General features: G+C 37.7%; 1 long non-coding RNA gene across 1 annotated transcript in view, besides 1 other annotated feature; it reads left to right on the top strand.

Moving 5' to 3' along the window:
* USP38-DT (USP38 divergent transcript) overlaps positions 1–20,578 on the top strand; it is a 396,420-nt gene that overhangs the window by 109,690 nt on the left and 266,152 nt on the right. The window lies entirely within an intron of this gene.
* Positions 3,143–3,642: an enhancer, noted in NCBI's record as "H3K4me1 hESC enhancer chr4:143992683-143993182 (GRCh37/hg19 assembly coordinates)". NCBI's record gives its function as "activates a minimal SCP1, AML or CMV promoter by ChIP-STARR-seq in naive H9 embryonic stem cells {active_cell/tissue: H9 hESC(naive)}" and the evidence as "EXISTENCE:reporter gene assay evidence [ECO:0000049][PMID:30033119]".

The raw sequence follows: 20,578 nt of genomic DNA, 5'->3' as shown, positions 1-20,578 counted from the left end.
AATTCAGTAAAGCTGCAAGATAAAAAATCAACATCTGAAACTTAGTAGCATTTATGTATACTAACAACAAACTATTTGAAAAAATTTAAGAAAAAAATCCCCTTTATAATGGCTACCAAAAAAATTGGAATGAATTTAACCAAGGAGGTGAAATATCTGTATACTGAAAATTATAAAATGCTAATGAAAGAAATTGAACAAGACACAAACAAATAGAAAAATATCCCATGTTTGTAGATTGGAATAATTAATATTGTTGAATAAAACTCAAAGTGATCTACAGATTCAATGCAATTCCTATCAAAATTCCAATGACATTTTCCACAGAACTAGAAAAAACAATTTTAATATTTGTATGGGACCAGACTGGATAGCCAAAGCAATCTTAAGCAAAAAGAACAAAGCTGGAAACATCACACTACTTGATTTGAAAATATATATAAAGCTATAGTAATCAAAACAGTATGGAACTGGCATAAAAACAGACACATAATCAATGGAGCAGAATAGAGAGCCCAGAAATAAATCTACACATTTATGGTCAACGGATTTTGACCAAGATGTCAGTAACACACAGTGGGTAAAACACAGTTTCTTCAAGCATTGGTGCTGGGAAAACTAGATATCCATATGAAGAACAATAAAATTAGACCCTCATCTCTTATCATATAAAAAATCCATTCAAAATGGATTAAATACTTAAATATAAGGCCTGAAACTATAATTCTACTACAAGAAAACATAGAGGAAAAGCTCTATGACAGTGGTCTTGGCAATGAGTTTTTTGGATGTGACCCCAAAGGCACAGGCAACGAAAGCAAAATAGACAAATAAGATTACATCAAACTAAAAAGCTTCTTCACAGCAAAGGAAACACTCAACCTAGTGAAGAGACAGCCTACAGAATGGAAGAAAATATTTGCAAACCACACATCTAATAAGTGATTAATATCTGAAATGTATAAGAAACTCAAACAACTGAGTATTAAGAAAACAGATTTTTTAAATGGGCAAATGACCTGAATAGACATTTTTCAATAGAAGACATACAAATGGTAATCATCAGGGAGATGCAAATCAAAACCACTATAAGATTGATATGGTTTGGCTCTGTGTCCCCACCCAAATCTCATCTTGTAGCTCCCATAATTCCCATGTATTGTGGGAGGGACAAGTGGGAGATGATTGAATCACGGGGGGTTGATCTTTCCATGCTGTTCTCATGATAGTGAATGAGTTTCACAAGATCTGATGGTTTTAAAAATGGGAGTTGCCCTGCACAAACTCTCTTTTTGCCTGCCACCATCCATGTAAGATGTGACTTGCTCCTCTTTCCCTTCCACCATGATTGTGAGGCCTCCCCAGCCATGTGGAACTGTAAGTTCAATAAACTTCTTTCTTTTGTAAATTACCCAGTCTTGGATGTGTCTTTATCAGCAGTGTGGAAACAGACTAATACAGAGATACAATGTCACACTCATTCAGATGGGTATTATAAAAAGATGAAACATAAGAAATGTTGTCTAGGATGTGGAGAAAAGGGAACTCTGCTAGAGGTTGGTGGGAATATAAGTTATTATAGCCATTACAGAAATCTGTATGGAGGCACCTCAAAAAATTAAAAACAGAACTATAATATGATCTGATAATCCTAATACTGGGTGCATATCCAAACAATGTAAAATCAGTATGTCAAAGAGATTTGCAGTCTTGTGTTTACTGCAGCATTACTCACAATAGCTAAGATATAATATAAGCAAGGTGTTTGTCAACAGATGAATGGATAAAGAAAATGTAGTGTATATATACACGATGGAATACTATTCATCCTAAAAAAAGAAGAAAATCCTGGCATTTGTCACAAAAAGGATGACCTGTAGGATATTATGCTAAGTGAAATAAATCAGGCACAGAAAGACAAATACTGCATCATATTAGTTACATGTGAAATCTAAAAATATAGAACTCATAGAAGCAGAGAATACAATGTTGGTTTCCAGAGGCTGGGGATTGAGGAGACTGGGGAGATGCCAGTCAAAGACACAAAATTTTATCTCGGCAGAAGGAATAATTTCAAGATGTCTATTTCCTATGTCTATTATGGTGACTACAATTAATCATTATATATCATATTTGAAAATGGCTAAGAGAGATTTTAGATGTTCTCACCACGTGCACAAAATAGGTGTTAACCACACAATGGGTGGGTTCGATCACTTGGTGGGTGACAGTCCAATGACCACAACCAAGGAGGATTTAACACAGGGATTTTATTACATGCAATAAGTAAAGAGGACACCTGGGATATTTCCCAAAGCAGTGCCTCTCCAAATAAAGGTGAAAACATCTTGTATTAGACTAGCTAACTTTATGGATGTAGAGGTGCAGTAAAGGCAGTGCAAGCACAGTCACTGATCATGCTTCTACATACATTGTATGTATAGAAAATGGTGAAAAACTCCTCCATAGGCAAGATCTTAGAATAGTAATGAGGAGAGTTTGCCAAAGTTCATCTCCAATTCAGGCCTTTCTGAATCTAACTGGTTTTTGTTTTTTGGGGGCTGAACTTCTTCCTGGAACTGTTTTGAAACAATAATAACTCAAGGTACAAGTTACAAGTGGGTACTTTTTCACAGTACATACCCCCAAACCCAGGGACTCTGGGTTACATAAGTATGTGATGTCATGCATGTGTTAAAGAACTTGATTTAGCCATTCCACAATGTATACATATATCAAAAAATCATATTGTACACTATAAATATGTACAATTTTTACTTGTAACTTAAAAAATAAATAAAACTTTGTGGATATACAGAATTCACCATCAACTCAAACAACTCAACAACAACAACAACAAAACAAATAACCAAAAGCAGGCAGAAGAAGATGGAAAGAGCAGATTTGCTGAGTCTTCTGGCCTTCATCTTTCTCCTGTTCAGGATTCTTACTGCCCTTGAACATTGGACTCCATGTTCTTCAGCTTTTGGACTCTCGGACTTACACCAGTGGTTTGCCAAGGCTCTCAGGCCTTCAGCCACAGACTGAAGACTACACTGTCAGCTTGCCTACTTTTGAGATTTTGGGACTTGGACAGGCTTTCTTGCTCCTCAGCTTGCAGATGGCCTATTGTGGGACTTCATCTTGTGATCATCTTTACTTTTTCTCTGGATTGACTAAAAAGGGAGGGGCCAAGATGGCCGACCAGACCAGAAACAGCTGTGGTAGGCTCCCACTGAGAAGAAAAAAAACAGCAAGTGAATCCTGCACTAGCAACTGAGATATCCAGGTTCTCTCATTGGGACTGACTAGGCAGTTGACACAACCCACGGAGAATGAGGAAAAGCCGGGTGGAGCAATGGCCTACTGGGAACTACACAGGGCAAGGGGATCCCCCAACCCCAGCCATGGGATGCAGTGATTGTGCTACCCTGCCCAGGAAACCATGCTTTTTCCATGGATCTGTGCAACCCTGTGGATCAGGAGATTCCCTTGTGAGCCTGTGCCACCAGGGCCTTAGGTCTCCAGCACAGAGCTGTGCAGATTCTCAGCTGCTCAGCTGGAGACTGCCTAAGGCTACCGAGTTCCTGGAGGGTGGGCCGGCTATCATCACTGCAGCTGCCTGCTGCCTAAGATGACTGAGTTTCTGAGGGGAGGGGCAGCAGCTATTACTGCAGCTTCAGTCATCCATTTTCCCCTGCCGGTGCTGGGGAGACTGGGCAGTTTGGACCCAGGAGGAATTCCCCACAGCACAGCACAGCAGCTGTGGCAGATCATGGTCAGATTGCCTCTTTAGGCCAGACCCGGGCCCATCCCTCCTCACCAGGTGAGGCATCCCTGTGGTAATTTCAGCAACTTCAGCCAGAGGTTTACAAACAGAGCTCTGATCTCCTTGTGGTGGAGCCCCAGTGGGGAGGGGTGGCTGCAGCCTCCATAGATCAGTGGACTTAGTCTTTTTCCCTCCGGGCTCTGAGGAATCCAGGCAGTCTGGAGGAGTGAGATTCCCCTCAGCACACCACAATCCCTCCACCAAGAGGCAGCAAGAGTACTTTGTTACAAGGGTCCCTGATCCCATGCCTCCTGACTGGGTAAGACACCCCTAACAGGGGTTGCTAGAGACCTTATACAGGAGCTTGCTGGCATCAGGTCGGTGCCCCTCTGAGACAGAGCTCCCAGAAGAAGAAGGCAGCCATCTTTGCTGTTCTGCACCCTCTACTCATGACACTTCCAGGTGTGGGAGGGACCCAGACAAATAGGGTCTGGAGTGGACCCCCAGCAAACCACAGCAGCCCTGCAGAAGAGAGGCCTGACTGTTAAAAGAAAAACAAAGAAACAGAAAGCAACAGCAACAAGAGCATCAACAAAAATTTCCTCACGAAAACTCCATCCAAAGGTCAGCAGCCTCAAAGATCAAAGCTAGATAAACTAATGAAGATGAGGAAAAAAATCAATAAAAAAATGCTGAAAACTCAAGAAAGCCAGACCACATCCTCTCCTCCAAATGATTGCACCATCTGTCCAGCAAGGGCACAGAACTAGGCTGAGGCTGAGATGAATGAACTAACAGAAGTAGGCTTCAGCAGGTGGGTAATAACGAACATCACCGAGCTAAAGGAGCATCTTCTAACCCAAATCAAAGAGTCTAAGAATGATGATAAAACATTACAGGAGCTGTTAACCAGAATAAACAGTTTAGAGGGGAACATAAATGACCTGATGGAGCTGAAAAACACAACACGAGAACTTCACAATGCAACCTCAAGTATTAATAGCTGAATAGACCAAGTGGAGGAAAGAATATCAGTGTTTGAAGACTATCTTGCTGAATAAGACAGGCAGACCAGATTAGAGAAAAAAGAATAAAAAGGAATGAACAAAATCTCCAAGAACTATGGGAATATGTAAAAAGACTGAACCTATGACTGATTGGGGTACTTGAAAGAGATGGGAAGAACAGAACCCAGTTTGAAAACATATTTCAGAATATTATCCAGGAGAACTTCCCCAACCTAGCTAGACAGGCAAACATTCAAATTCAGGAAATCTGTAAAACCCCATTAAGATATTCCATGAGAAGATCAACCCCAAGACATGTAATGATCAGATTCTCCAAGGTCGAAATGGCGGAAAAAATGTTAAGGGAAGCCAGAGAGAAAGGCCAGGTCACCTACAAAGGGAAGCCCATCAGACTAACAGTGGATCTCTCAGCAGAAACCCTACAAGCAGGAAGAGATTGGGGGCCAATATTCAATATTTGTAAAGAAAAGAATTTCCAACCCAGAATTTCCTATGTGGCCAAACTAAGCTTCATAAGCAAAGGAGAAATATAACCTTTTCAGACAAGCAAATGCTGAGAGAATTCATCACCAACAGGCCTGCCTTGCAAGAGCTCCTGAAGGAAGCACTAAATATGGAAAGGAAAAACCGTTGCCAGTCACTACAAAAACACACTGAAGTACAAAGACCAATGATATTATGAAGCAACTACCTCAACAAGTCTAAAAAATAACCAGCTAGCATCAAGATGACAGGATCAAATTCACACATAACAATATTAACCTTAAATGAAAATGGGCTAAACACTCCAATTAAAAGACACAAAATGGCAAGCTGGATAAAGAGTCAATCCATGTGGTGTATTCAAGAGACCTGTCTCATGTGCAAAGACACAAATAGGCTCAAAATAAAGAAATGGAGAAAAATTTACCAAGCAAATGGAAAACAGAAGAAAAGTAGGGATTGCAATCATAGTTTCTGACAAAACAGTCTTTAAATCAGCAAAGATCAAAAAAGACAAAGAAGGGCTTTACACAATAGTAAAGGGTTCAATTCAACAAGACGAGCTAACTCTCCTAAATATATATTCACCCAATACAGGAGCACCCAGATTTATAAAACAAGTTCTTAGAGAACTACAAAGAGACTTAGACTCTTGCACAATAGTAGTAGGAGACCTTAACACCCCACTGTCAATATTAGACAGATTGTCGAGACAGAAAATTAACAAAAGTATTCAGGACTTGAACCCAGCTCTGGATCATGTGGACCTGATACATATCTACAGAACTCTCCACCCCAAAACAACAGAATATACATTTTTCTCAGTGTCTCATGGCACTTACTCTGAAATCGATGACATAACAGGAAGTAAAGCACTCCTCAACAAATGCAAAAGAACTGAAATCATAACAAACTGTCTCTCACATCACAGTGCAATCAAATTAGAACTCAAGATTAAAAACTCACTAAAAACCACACAACTACATGGAAATTGAACAACCTGCTCCTGAATGACTCCTGGGTAATTAATGAAATTAAGACAGAAATCAAGAAGTTCTTTGAAGCCAATGAGAACAAAGAGACAACGTACCAGAATCTCTGGGATGCAGTTAATGCAGTGTTAAGAGAGAAGCTTATAGCACTAAATGTCTATATCAAAAAGCTAGAAAGATCTCAAATCAACACCCTAACCAACATCACAACTAAAAGAACTATAGAACCAGGAGAAAACAAACCCCAAAGAAGACAAGAAATAACAAAGATCAGAGCAGAAATGAAGAAGATAGAGACGTGAAAAACCCTTTAACAAATGAACAAATTCAGGAGCTGGTTTTTGGAAAAAACTAATAAAATAGACCTCTAGTTAGACTAATAAAGAAGAAAAGAAATAAGAATCAAATAGACACAATAAAAAATGATGAAGAGGATATTACCACTGACCCCACAGAAATACAAACAACCATAAGAGAATATTATAAACATCTCTATGCAAGTAAACTAGAAAATCTTGAAGAAAAGGATAAATTCCGGAGCAATACACCCTTCCAAGACTGAACCAGAAAGAAGTTGAATCCCTAAATAGACCAATAACAAGTTCTAAAATTGAGGCAGTAATAAATAGCCTACCAACCAAGAAAAAGCCCAGGACCAGACGGATTTACAGCTGAACTCCACCAGAGGTATAAAGAGGAGCTGGTACCATTTCTTCTGAAACTATTGCAAACAATTAAAAAGAAGGGACTTCTCCCTAATTCATTTTATGAGACCAGCATCATCCTGATACCAGAACCTGGCAGAGATACAACAACAACAAAAAACTTCAGGCCAATATCCCTGATGAACATCGATGCAAAAATCCTCAATAAAATGCTGGCAAACTGAATCCAGCAGCACATCAAAAAGCTCATCCACCATGATCAAGTCAGCTTCATCCCTGGGATGCAAGGCTGGTTCAACATACACAAATTAATAAACATAATTAATCACATAAACAGAACTAAAACAAGCACCACATGATTATCTCAATAGACGCAGAAAAGGCCTTCGATAAAATTTAACATCTCTTCATGTTAAAAACTCTCAATAAACTAGCTATCGATGGAACATATCTCAAAATAATAGGAGCCATTTATGATAAACCACAACCAATATCACACTGAATGGGCAAAAGCTGGAAGCATTCCCCTTGAAAATCAGCACAAGAAAAGGATGCCCTCTCTCACCACTCCTATTCAACACATTATTGGAAGTTCTTGCCAGGGCAATCAGGCAAGAGAAAGAAATAAAGGAATTCAAATAAGAAGAGAGGAAGTCAAATTGTCTCTGTAGAGGACATGATTCTGTATCTAGAAAACCCCATTGTCTCAGCCCGAAAACTTCTTAAGCTGTTAAGCAACTTCAGCAAATTCTCAGGATACAAAATCAATGTGCAACAATCACAAGGATTCCTATACACCAAAAATAGACATGCAGAGAGTCAAATCATGAATGAACTCCCATTCACAATTGCTGCAAAGAGAATAATATACCTAGGAATACAGCTAACAAGGGAAGTGAAGCATCTCTTCAAGGAGAACTACAAACCACTGCTCAAGGAAATCAGAGAGGACATAAACAAATGGAATATTATTCCATCCTCATGGATAGGAAGAATCAATATTGTGAAAATGGCCATGCTGCCCAAAGTAATTTATAGATTCAATGCTATTTCCATTAAACTACCATTGACATTCTTCACAGAATTAGAACAAATGACTTTAAAACTCATATGAAACCAAAGAGCCCAAATAGCCAAGACAATCCTAAGCAAAAGGAACAAAGTTGGAGGCATTATGCTACCTGACTTCAAACTATATTACAAGGCTACAATAACCAAAACAGCATGGTACTAGTACAAAAACAGACACACACATCAATGGAACAGAATAGAGAACTCAGAAATTAGACCGCACATCTACAACCATCTGATCTTTGACAAACCTGGCAAAAACAAGCAATGGGGAAAGGATTCCCTATTTAATAAATGGTGCTGAAAGAACTGGGTAGCCATTTGCAGGTAATTGAAACTGGACCCCTTCCTTACACTTTATACAAAAATTAACTCAAGATGGATTAAAGAATTGAATGTAAAACTCAAAATTATAAAAACCCTAGAAGAAAATCTAGGCAATACCATTGAGAACATAGGCATGAGCAAAGATTTCATGACAAACACATCAAAAGCAATTGCAACAAAAGCAAAAATTGACAAATGGAATCTAATTAAACTGAAGAGCTTCTGCACAGCAAAAGAAATGATCATCAGAGTGAACAGACAGCCTACAGAATGGGAGAAAATTTTTGCAATCGATCCATCTGACTAATATCCAGAATTTACAAGGAACTTTTAACAAATTTACAAGAAAAATACCCATTAAAAAGTGAGAAAAGGACATGAACAGACACTTCTCAAAAGAAGACATTTATGCAGCCAACAAACATATATAAAAAGGCTAAACATCACCAATCACCAGAAAAATGCAAATCAAAACCACAATGAGATGCCATCTCACGCCAGTCAGAATGGCTATTATTAAAAAGTCAGGAAACAACAGATGCTGGTGAGGCTGTGGAGAAATAGGAACACTTTTACACTGTTGGTGGGAATACAAATTAGTTCAACCACTGTGGAAGACAGTGTGGAGATTCCTCAAAGACCTAAAGACAGAAGTACCATTTGACCCAGCAATCTCAATACTAGGTATATACCCAAAGGAATATAAATCATTCTATTATAAAGATACATGCACTCATACTTCATTGCAGCACTATTCACAATAGCAAAAACATGGAATCAACCCAAATGCCCATCAATGATGGACTGGATAAGGAAAATGTTGTACATATACACCATAGGATACTATGCAGCCATAAAAAGGAATGAGATCATGTCCTTTGCAGGGATATGGATGGAGCTGGAAGCCATTATCCTCAGCAAACTAACGCAGGAACAGAAAACCAAACACTGGATGTTCTCACTTATAATTGGGAGCTGAAAAATGAGAACACATGGACACAGGGAGGGGAACAACACACCTTGGGGCCTGTTGGCAGGTACGGCAGGAGAGAGAGCATCAGGAAAAATAGCCAATGCATGCTGGGCTTAATACCTAGGTGATGGGTTGATAGGTGCAGCAAACCACCATGGCACACATTTTTCTATGTAACAAACCTGCACATCCTGCACATATATTCTGGAATTTAAAATAAAAATAAAAAAGCAAAACAAAACAACCACATCAAAAAGTGGGCAAAGGACATGAATAGACATTTTTCAAAAGAAGACATACAAATGGCCAATAAGCACATGAAAAAAATGCTCAACATCACTAATCATCAGATAAATGGAAATGAAAACTACAATAAGATATACTCTTACCCTATCAGAATGGTATTATTAAAAATACAAAAGATAGCAAATGCCGGTGAGGGTGCAGAGAGAAGGGAAGGCTTACACACTGCTGGAGGGAATATAAATTAGTACAACCTCTATGGAAAAGAGTGTGGAGATTTCTCAAAGGACTAAAAGTAGAACTACCATTTGATCCAGCAATCCCACTACTGGGTATCTACCCAAAGGAAAATAAATCATTATACCAAAAAGATACTTGCAGTTGTATGCTTATGATAGCCCTATTCACAGTAGCAAAGACATGGAATCACCGGAAGTGTCCATCAGTGGGTTAGTGGATACAGAAGTTGTGGTATATGTATACAATGGAATAATATTCAACCATAAAAAATAATGAAATTATGTCTTTTGCAGCAACGTGGGAGAAACTTGAGACCATTATCTTAAGTGAAATGACTCAGAAACAGAAAGTCAAATACTGTATGCTTTCACTTATAAATGGGAGCTAGGTGAAATGTACACATGGAAAAAAAAGTTTGTGGATATAAAACACAATTAGCCTTATACCAGCTGTTTTTAATAATGTGGAGCAACAGAAACTCTCAGACAATGTTGGAGTGTAATTTGGTGTATCACTTTGAAAAATAGCTTTAAATTTGAACATAAGCAGACACTATGATTCACCATTTTCACTCGCAGCCATAGACCTTTGAAAAACCGGTATATTCGCCAGAAGATACTGCCTAGCTTTGTTCATAGGAGCATTATTTGTTTTAGTCCTGAAATGAAAATAACCCAAATAGTTATCTACAGGAGAACAGATAAAATTTGGCATATTCATACTATGAAATGTACCACACAGTGAAAATGACTGAATAACCATCACATGCATTAATGTGGCTGAATTGCAAAAACACGATTTTATTTATAGAGTTGAAAACCATCAAAACCTAATCAATGCATTGTTCATGGGAACATACATAGGTAAAAACACTGTAAGGAGAAGTACTGGAATGTTTAACACAAAATTTAAGATAGAGATTATAAGTGTGGAGGAGGGAGGCTAATAAGATCAGAGAGGAACACATAAGCTTCTGTTAAGTCCTATTTCTTGTGGAGAAGGAAGCAGACGGGTGTTTTATATTGCTGTTTTTAAAATCATGATGTTTCATATTTCTTCTCTTTGTATAATGTATTTCTTCCTCTGTTTCATTCACACTCACACCCACACTCATGAAATTCCATTCAGGTTAGCAATAAAAGCTAAAAGTTACTTAAGAATAAATCTATAAAAACCACATATAACTTTTATGAAGAAAATTCTGAAAGTTTCTTGAAGGGCATGGAGTGAGAAAATTATGTACAACCATGGCCCTGGAACTCAATATGGGTGAGTGAACTCAATATTGGAAAAGTGACAATTCTCCTCAAATTGTCCATATAATTTAGTGTAATTTTTTTTATAGATCTTGATAAGCTGACCATACATTCTATTGAAAGGTAAAGGGTCCAATTTATCCAAGATAAATTTGAGGTACAAGAATAAAGAAGAAAAGGTCATCCAACACGTATCAAGACATTTCATTTCCTTAAAAAAAAAAAAGATTTTGGGAAATGAAGAAATAGACGTCACATTTGTAGGCAACTCTTTCAAGAAGTTTGGCTGTGCAGAGGAGCAAGAACACAATTTGTAATTTTTTTTTCTGATACACAGAAACATTTCACCTTATAGATCAGCTGCTTCCTGTGAAACTGAGACATAGCTCAGGACACAGATAATGTAGCTCATGAAACAGATAATCTAGCTCAGGTTTTCCCAACTTCCTAAGAATTGCCCAGGGTACCTGTCACAGCAGATTCTTTTGTCACATCCTAGACCAATTGCATCAGATTATCCAAGGGTGGGGGCCTGGGGATCTTTATTTCCAATAAGCTGCCAGATGATTCTTATGTTCTGACAAAGTCATGTAGCACTGACCCCTCCTCCCCCCGACTTTTTTAACTTTACGTCCTGGGATACATGTGCTGAATGTGCAGGTTTGTTACATAGGCATAAATGTGCCATGGTGGTTTGTTGCACCTATCAACCCGTCATCTAGGTTTTAAGCTCTGCATGCATTAGGTATTTGTCCCAGTGCTCTCCCTACCCTTTCCCCCAACCCCCTGACAGGCCCCGGTGTGTGATGTTCCCCTCCCTGTGTCCATGTGTTCTCATTGTTCAGCTCCCAATTATAAGTGTGAACATGCAATGTTTTGCTTTCTGTTCCTGTGTTAGTTTGCTGAGGATGATGGTTTCCAGCTTTATCCATGTCCCTGCAAAGGACATGAACTCATTCTTTTTTATGGCTGCATAGCATTCCATGGTCTATATGTGCCACATTTTCTTTATCCAATCTATCATTCATGAGCATTTGAGTTGGTTCCAAGTCCTTGCTATTGTAAACAGTGTTGCAATAAATATACATGTGCATGTGTCTTTATAATAGAATGATTTATAATCCTTTGGGTATATGCCCAGTGATGGGATTGCTGGGTCAAATGGTATTTCTGGTTCTATATCCTTGAGGAATCACCACAGTGTCTTCCATAATGGTTGAACTAATTTACACTCCCACCAATGGTGTAAAAAGAATAATTGTTGTTAGAAATAAATGGTTGATAAAACATGTCTTGTGAAAGTTTAAATATAACTTTAAAATAAAAATGATCATTGAGAAAATATGTATTTTCCATGGATGGGAATTATTTCTACAGAATTTGGAGTCTGCTTCAGTTACCAAGGGACTCTTCAGTAAAATTCTTTATAAACGTGTCTAACTTGCCAAATTAAAAAGGAAACAAATTTATTTATAAGAGTTATAAATATTTAATTTTGTTAATTGGTGTAGAAATGCTTTTCTTTTCTATATATTTTTATAAAAGAGGGAGACATAGTACAAATATTAGTTTGTGGTTTTATCCAACAAGATTTGTGATTCATGTGTTTGCATTTGTTACATTCAAGAGAGAAGCAGGTTTAGGATGTGGCAGAATAATTATAAAGGTTTCTGTCTCTTCTGAATTCTTACAGCCCTCAATTTGTACTTTTAGTTAAAGAGTGCTTTGATGGTATTTTTTCAATTACACAAATAATGTATGGATAGATTCTCATTGTAATTGATTAAAACAATTCAAAACATTAATAATGACTTACAGATGAGTTCTGTGTGCCTACTTGGAGTATTTTGTCATGGATTACCTAATTTAATTCTCAGAATTCTCAGAATTTTGTGAACTATGCCCCATAATTATTTTACAAAAGGGGAATTCCAGGTTTCTGCATCTGGAAAATAGTAGAACTAGATTTTGAACCCACATAATTTGACTCCAGAGTCCACATTATGGACTTTCTAATCTGATCATCAACCATACATGGAAAGAAACTTCAAAAACTCCCTTCATCCCCACCTTCTCTCCCTGACACAGAGATTAGCAGTCTCAGCAACTTTTCTGTGTGCCTTTCTCATTCCCCTTGTATGCATTTGTGTGTATAGCTATACCTATGCATGTGTGTCTTTTATTAAACTTAAGTGGGATTTATACCACAGATTGTTTCATGATTTGATTTTCTGCAAAATAACTCTTAGAGTTTTAAATTTCATTACATATAATCTACTACATTTTTAAAAAGTGGCTAAATACTCCACAGTACGTATGTAGCAAACCTTTTTAAATGGTTGTCGTGGGAATAGACAGACCCTTTCCAATTTTTCCCAATTATAAATGATGCTCTAATGACCATCCTTGTGCAAGGTGTGAATATGTCTGTAGGACAGACTCAATCAAACAGAATGGCTCATAAAAAAATCATATGAATAATTAAAATTCCAATAGATACTGCCAATCTGGACTTCAAAAGGCTGTGTGAATTTACACTCCCTGCCATCAGCAGGTTCATTTTCCCACATCTCACCAGCACTTGATATTATCAATCTCTGTAAATTTTTGCCAATCTAATGAGCAAATTAGATTTGCTACTTTATTTCTTAATTTCCTTTTTGTATCTTCTGTTTAATGCTACATGCATGCACCTGCTGAGGCAGTGCCTGACATATAATAACACTCAATAAATAATTGTTGAATGAATTGAAGAATAAATATATTGGTCATTTGTATTTTTTTTGGTAATTTATCAGCTCATATTTTTTCCCATTTTTATTTTGAGCTATGTCTTTTTCTCATGCTTCATAAGAAACTTATATATTCTTGATGGTGAACATTGTCTGTTATATATGCTGCAAATATTTTTTTCTACTCTATTGATTGATTTAACTTTATGGAACATTTTTATTAAGAGGGTTTTATTATTTTTTTATTATTTATTATTATTATTATTTTTGAGACAGAGTCTTGCTCTGTTGCCCAGGCTGGAGTGCAATGGCACAATCTTGGCTCACTGCAGGCTCCTCCTCCTGGGTTCATGCCGTTCTCCTGCCTCAGCCTCCCAAGTAGCTGGGACTACAGGCCCCAGCCACCATGCCCAGCTAATTTTTTGTATTTTTAGTAGAGACAGGGTTTCATCGTATTAGCCAGGATGGTCTTGATCTTCTGTCCTCGTGATCCGCCCACCTTGGCCTCCCAAGAGGGTTTTATTTTTTAAATATCAAATTTGAGTATCTTTCTCTTTATGCATAGAAAGGCCTTTCCTAGAACCAAAGGTTATAAAAATATTCTAGTAGAATTTATTCTAATATTTGTATAAATTTGTTTATAGTTCTTAAATTTATCTGATGTGTGTATGTCTGTGTGTGTTGAAATTAAGTGTGACTTTATATTTTCCTAAATAATGCCAATAGCATTAAATTCTTTTACATTCATGGTATTGTTTCTTCATTTGTTCCTTGCTTGGTTTAGGGATGAAGTATCTGATAAATTAGAGAGAGGCCTACTGATTGATTAGAAAAGCCTTAAAAAGCTTGCCATGCGCCTGAAATTCTGTCCCCTATGCTAGGGTACTATTTTCAGAAGACCCTGTTCAATCTATATTTGCTACTTGGCAAATATAAAAACTGACAATGTGTCACCATCTTTTTGGGAAAAGGAGACTCTACCATTTCTGCCACCACAGGAACATCTAAAGCTACTTTGTGACTGAGAGTTTGAGTCTCTACCCTTACATTCTTTCTCAGCAGGCACATATTATTTAGTAAATCTGGTAAACTTGGGCCAAATTTTGCAGTAGACTTCTCCCTTGGATACTACCACTATGGGATTTGGATACTTCATGGGTCACTAGCTATAAAAGGTCAGCCCTGCTTTTATCCCCTGTATGGTTCCTTTACGGCAGAATATTCCCAGCATGACTATCTGAAAGCAGTCTTTCAGAAACTCCACCAAAGAGACCTTGCCACAGATGGTGAAGACACAAAAGGAGGGAAAGCATACATTCAGAATAGAGTCAGAGAACCTCTAATATGCCTTTTTAAAAATTTCATTTTTTCCATTTGTCAACTTTTGCTTTTGTTGCAATTACTGTTGACGTCTTCGTCATGAAATCTTTGCCCATGCCTATGTCCTGAATGGTATTGCCTAGGTTTTCTTACAGGGTTTTTATAGTTTTGGATTTTACATTTAAATCTTTAATCCATCTTGAGTTAATTTTTGTGTAAGGCGTGAGGAAGGGGTTCAGTTTAAACTAAAGAGCTTCTGAACAGCAAAAGAAACTATTAACAGAGTAAACAGACAACCTACAGAATGGGAGAAAATATTTGCAAACTATGCATCTGACAATGGTTTAATATCTATAAGGAATTTAAACAAATTTACAAGAAAAAAAACCAACTCTATAGAAAAGTGGGCAAAGGACATGAATAGACACTTCTCAAAAGGAGACTGCAGAATATTCCCAGCATGACTATCTGAAAGCAGTCTCTGAGAAACAAAAATGTGACCAACGATCATATGAAAACAAGCTCAGCATCACTGACCATTAGAGAAATGCAAATCAAAACCGCAATGAGATACCATCTTACACCAGTCAGAATGGCAAATATTAAAAAGCCAACAGATAACAGATGCTGGCAAGGTTGTGGAGAGAAAGGAACGGTTATACACTGTTGGTGGGAGTGTAAATTAGTTCAACCATTGTGGAAGAAAGTGTGGAAGACAGAGATTCCTCAAAGACCTAAAGACAGAAATCCCATTCAACCCAGCAATCCCATGACTGGGTATATACCCAAAAGAATATAAATCATTGTATTATAAAGACACATACACGTGTATGTTCATTGCAGGACTATTCACAATAGCAAAAACATGGAATCAACCTAAATGCCCATCAATGACAGATAGGATAAAGAAAATGTGGTACATATACACCATGGAATACTATACAGCCATAAAAAAGAATGAGATCATGTCCTTTGCAGGGACATAGATGGAGCTGGAGGCCATTATCCTTACCAAACTAACACAGGAATAGAAAACCAAATACTGCATGTTCTCACTTATACGTGGGAGCTAAGTGAAGAGAACATGTGGACACAGGCAAGGGAACAACACACACAGGCCTACAAGAGGATAGAGATTGGGAGGAGGGAGAGAATCAGGAAAAAAACTAATGGGTACTAGGCTTAATATCTGGGTGATGAAATAATCTGTACGACAAATCTCCGTGACACAAGTTTAACTATGTAACAAACTTGCACATGTACATGTGAACTTAAAAGTTAAAAATTTCATTTGTTTTTCTATCTGTGTGAATACTTTTGCCTATGTCCTTCCAAATTTACATTTTTTAAACTGCTCCCCATTGTGTCTTCTCTTAGAAGTGGAAAAGCTGAAGTTTTGCTAGTGAAGTCTGTGTCCTGAGTTGCAAACTGCTTTTCTTCATCTCATCTCAATCTGAGCTTCCCTTTTCCAGTTAAAGGAGAATCTGTCCTCCATGGCTTCTAGCTTTTACTGAATCAAATTTTTTCCTCTTTTTTTTTTTTTTTTTTTGGCCTGGATTTTCCTCTAATTACACATTACACCGTGAACTCTCAAACCCAAGCCTTATTGTCTTCCTTGGGAGAAGCAGAGGAGTATCAAGTTTATCAATCCTACTTGTGATTTCATCCTTCTGTTACAGCTTCTCAGGTTGTGAGTTGTGATTTCATCCTTGTGTTACAGCTTCTCAAGTTGTGAGCGTGTGCCAAAGTTTTATTTCAAACTTACAATAGGGAAGAGGCTTCTAAGAAAGCCAGTTCAAAGATTTCCTCTTGGTAGAGGTATCTTATGTGGAAATGCATGGTTATGTAATCATTATTATATTATATATTTTTAAAAAGCATGTATAGTTTAAGATCATTAGGCCTATTACAAGATGACTACAAGCTGGTGGTGTTACTCTAATTTCTCAAAAGGAGTTTTTTTTTTCTTTTTTTTTTTTTTATGACAAGGTCTCACTCTGTTGCCCAAGCTGGAGTGCAGTGGTGTAATCATAGCTCACTGCAGCCTTGATCTCAGGGGCTCAAGTGATCCCCCCGCCTCAGCCTCTCTAGTAGCTGGGACTACAGGCATGTACCACCATGCCCAGCTGATTTTGTTTTGTTTATAAAAAACTTCCAGAAGAGACAAGGTCTTTCTATGTTCCTCAGGCTGGCCTCAAACTCCTGAGCTCAAGTGATCCTCCTGCCTCGACCTCCCAAAGTGCTGAAATTACAGGCATGAACCCCTGTGCCTGGACTCAAAAGAAGTTTGAATCTTGTGAGAGTTTATTAGAAAATTGCTTCAGCATTTTATTATGAATAATAGATATTTTCCATAAGGTGCTGCTAATTACATAACTCAGAGTTCTACCTCAGCTCAGGTATGGGCAATTCTCTCTCTCTTTCTCTCTCTCCTTTTTGATTTTTTGATAGAGTAATTCTTTTTTGAAGAAACATCTTGATCAAAAAAAAATTTGTCTTATTGCATTCTATCCTAAGTGTATTATGGAGTTCGTTGCTTAGCCACTTTTTACATCTTTCACAAGTGGTGGAAATTAGACGTAGATTTAATTTGCACCATTACAATTGGCAGCAATATTTTTATCCACATTGTTAGTAGGCCATTAAGCCATTTTCTAGTTAACATTTCTAAAATCAGTATATGTCTTACAACTGAATATAATACGCTCCCATGCATACACCCACAGCCACCCTCCCCCACCATACCCAATAGAGCCATTGTTGTATTGATGTTAGGTCTTAAATAAACTTAAAAAGTACATATAGCATTATACAAACTGGCCCATGTTGTTTTTCATTGTTAGCTTCCTGAAAGTAGGCTGTTTTTTGGGTTTTTTCATTATTTAATCTCTTTCTTGTGCCTCAACTCTCAGGAGGGTAAGATAATATAGTCTAGTCTCCATTCTGTGAGAAGCTCTCACTGTTCGTTGATTGGAGTGAGAAAGGGGAAGGGAGGAATTTTTTTCCTTCTTGGGTGGAGAAACAGGAGTGGCTGCCGCGCTGTGCTCCAGATGGTATCCCTTCTTCCCAAACTGGTGATTCCTGGTTGCTTGGGAGCCTCTTCTCATGATGGAGATTCCGCCCATCCCTGTCTTGGGTTTGCAGTAGTTAATAACTCTATTCTCTCTTTCTTTGGGCGAGGCTACCTGAGTGTGTTTTTAATCCATGAGTGTGGAGGAAGGGAAATTGCCTTCATTAGTTCAGCCTTGTGGTAAAAACAAAACAAAACAAGACCTTCCCCCCAGCATCCCCTCACCCCCCACCTCCAAAAAAAAGCTACAGAAAAAAATCAAGTTTTACCCTGCCAAGGTGATTGGTTCTTAGTAGTACTCTGGGTTATTATTCTGTTAAAAGATGTCTCTCTCTTTTTTCTATCTGAATTATATTGTGAAAGGCCTCCTTCCAGCTGGGGGCGGTGGTGCACGCCTGTAATCCCAGCACTTGGGGAGGCCGAGGCAGGCGGATCATGAGGTCAAGAAATGGAGACCATCCTGGCCAACATGGCGAAACCCCGTCTCTACTAAAAATACAAAAATTAGCTGGGCGTGATGGTGCATGCCTGTAGTCCCAGCTACTCGGGAGGCTGAGGCAGGAGAATCACTTGAACCCCAGAAGGCAGAGATTGCAGTGAGCCGAGATAGCACCACTGCACTCCAGCCTGGCAACAGAGCGAGACTCCATCAAAAAAAAAAAAAAAAAAAAAAAAAAAAAAGAAAGAAAGAAGGAAAGAAACAAAGAAAATGTCCCCTTCTGCAACCCCTTAATCACAGACCAGGCTCCTGAAGGAAAGTCATGAGGGCTGACTAAAAACCCCGCAGTGCTGCATATTGTATGCCTCATAGTATTGGGTATGGTGCTTGACGCACACTTAGCAATGGCATCACATTTTGCTAGTGGTGGGTGCGTGTGGCAGGACTGGTGGCAGACAGGGCTTCTTATCAATATCACCACTGCCAGGAACTACTATTCCTCAATCTTGCTATTCTAGAAATGAGGTTTTCTCAGTATACTCAGAAATAATTTGCTGCTCCATTGAAGACTCATATTGACAAAATTCCCATGATTTTAATAGATATACAAGAACGCTAATTAATTTATACTGGAGCACACCTGTTTATGTAGTAACAAGAATACTCATAATTCTCTCTCCAAGACACCCTCCTTTCTTGTTATCTGGGAATCTGAAAAACTGAACTATTAACTTGGTGGATAGCTTGTATACCAGGCGTCAGAACAAAAGTATAGAGTGAATATTTGGGGAAAATATTTTATCTAAGCTTTAGGAAATAAAAATGAAATCTCACTAGCCTATTTCTTTACCAAAAGTTGTTTTACTGATTGCAGTTGATTAAGATAATTAGTGCCCAAGAGAAAATTGGAATTAGGAAGCAGATAAAAAGGGGTTGGAGAGGGAGCTTACTATTGCAAGAAAAATCATGACATGACCATCTTATTAGTGATTAAAATCAATACATCCAAGGATTTTCCAAGAGCCCCAAACAAAATAATTATCAGCTAGAAATAGACTTAAAAAATCTTGCCTGGGCCTCAGATTTAAAATACAAAAAAATACTCAAGGAAGTAATTGTGAATAGAAGTAAAACATTACAAGAAGCTACTTGAATATTAGAAATGTGATGAATTTTAAAAAGTGGTATAACTGAAAAAAATGACAAAACCCATTTTTTTCTTTTTTCTTTTCTTCTTTTTCTTTTCTTTTCTTTTTTTTTTTTTTTTTTTTACAAAAATAGAGACTTGTGAATGAATCTGTGCCAAGTTTGTTTAAAATGCCTACTTAAACAAGTGGGGATGTCAGAATGTCTGTAATTACTATTTCTGAATTTCCTGTGGAGACTATTTGGCAATACTGTGTTTGGAAGTCTTTTACCCCAGTTTGTGAGGAGATGATGAAACAAAGGAAATAAGCAGGCATGAAAAAAGAAAAGAATTAAAAATATAAGAATAAGAGATCTGAGTTGTACAAACACCTGAGATCATTAACATATATAACAGCTCTGTGCCATAAGAAAGTAATGTCTGAGCAGATAAATAATACAATCCGTTTGATTTTTTTGGTCTGAGAATAAAATAGTCATTGAATTTAATGAAAGACAGACATTTAGACAAACTGTTTGGATGAAAAAGGAGGGAGGAAAAGCAACGCTTTAAAGGAAAAAAAAATCCAAATAGGCACCATAATCTTGGGAAAGAGAAATTATGTAAACATCAACAAATTTGGATCTGCTATTACATTGTATCTTTTACATATTAGTGATTTTGAGAGAAATGTCAAGTTATCTTTGGTTCCTTGCCTATAAAAATGGGAAAAATATACTCTTGGAATGGAGATTATGTCATGCTTCATGCAGTATCCTCAGCACCTAGAACAACATGTAGCCTCAAACAGGCCATCCAGGAATATTTTTTAACTAAATGAATA

The sequence above is a fragment of the Homo sapiens genome, chromosome 4 (genome assembly GCF_000001405.40).
Source record: "Homo sapiens chromosome 4, GRCh38.p14 Primary Assembly".
In the NCBI taxonomy this organism is placed as follows: Eukaryota; Metazoa; Chordata; class Mammalia; order Primates; family Hominidae; genus Homo; species Homo sapiens.
The sequence above is the reverse complement of the archived record's forward strand: the minus strand, read 5'-3'. Positions and strand labels throughout refer to the sequence as shown.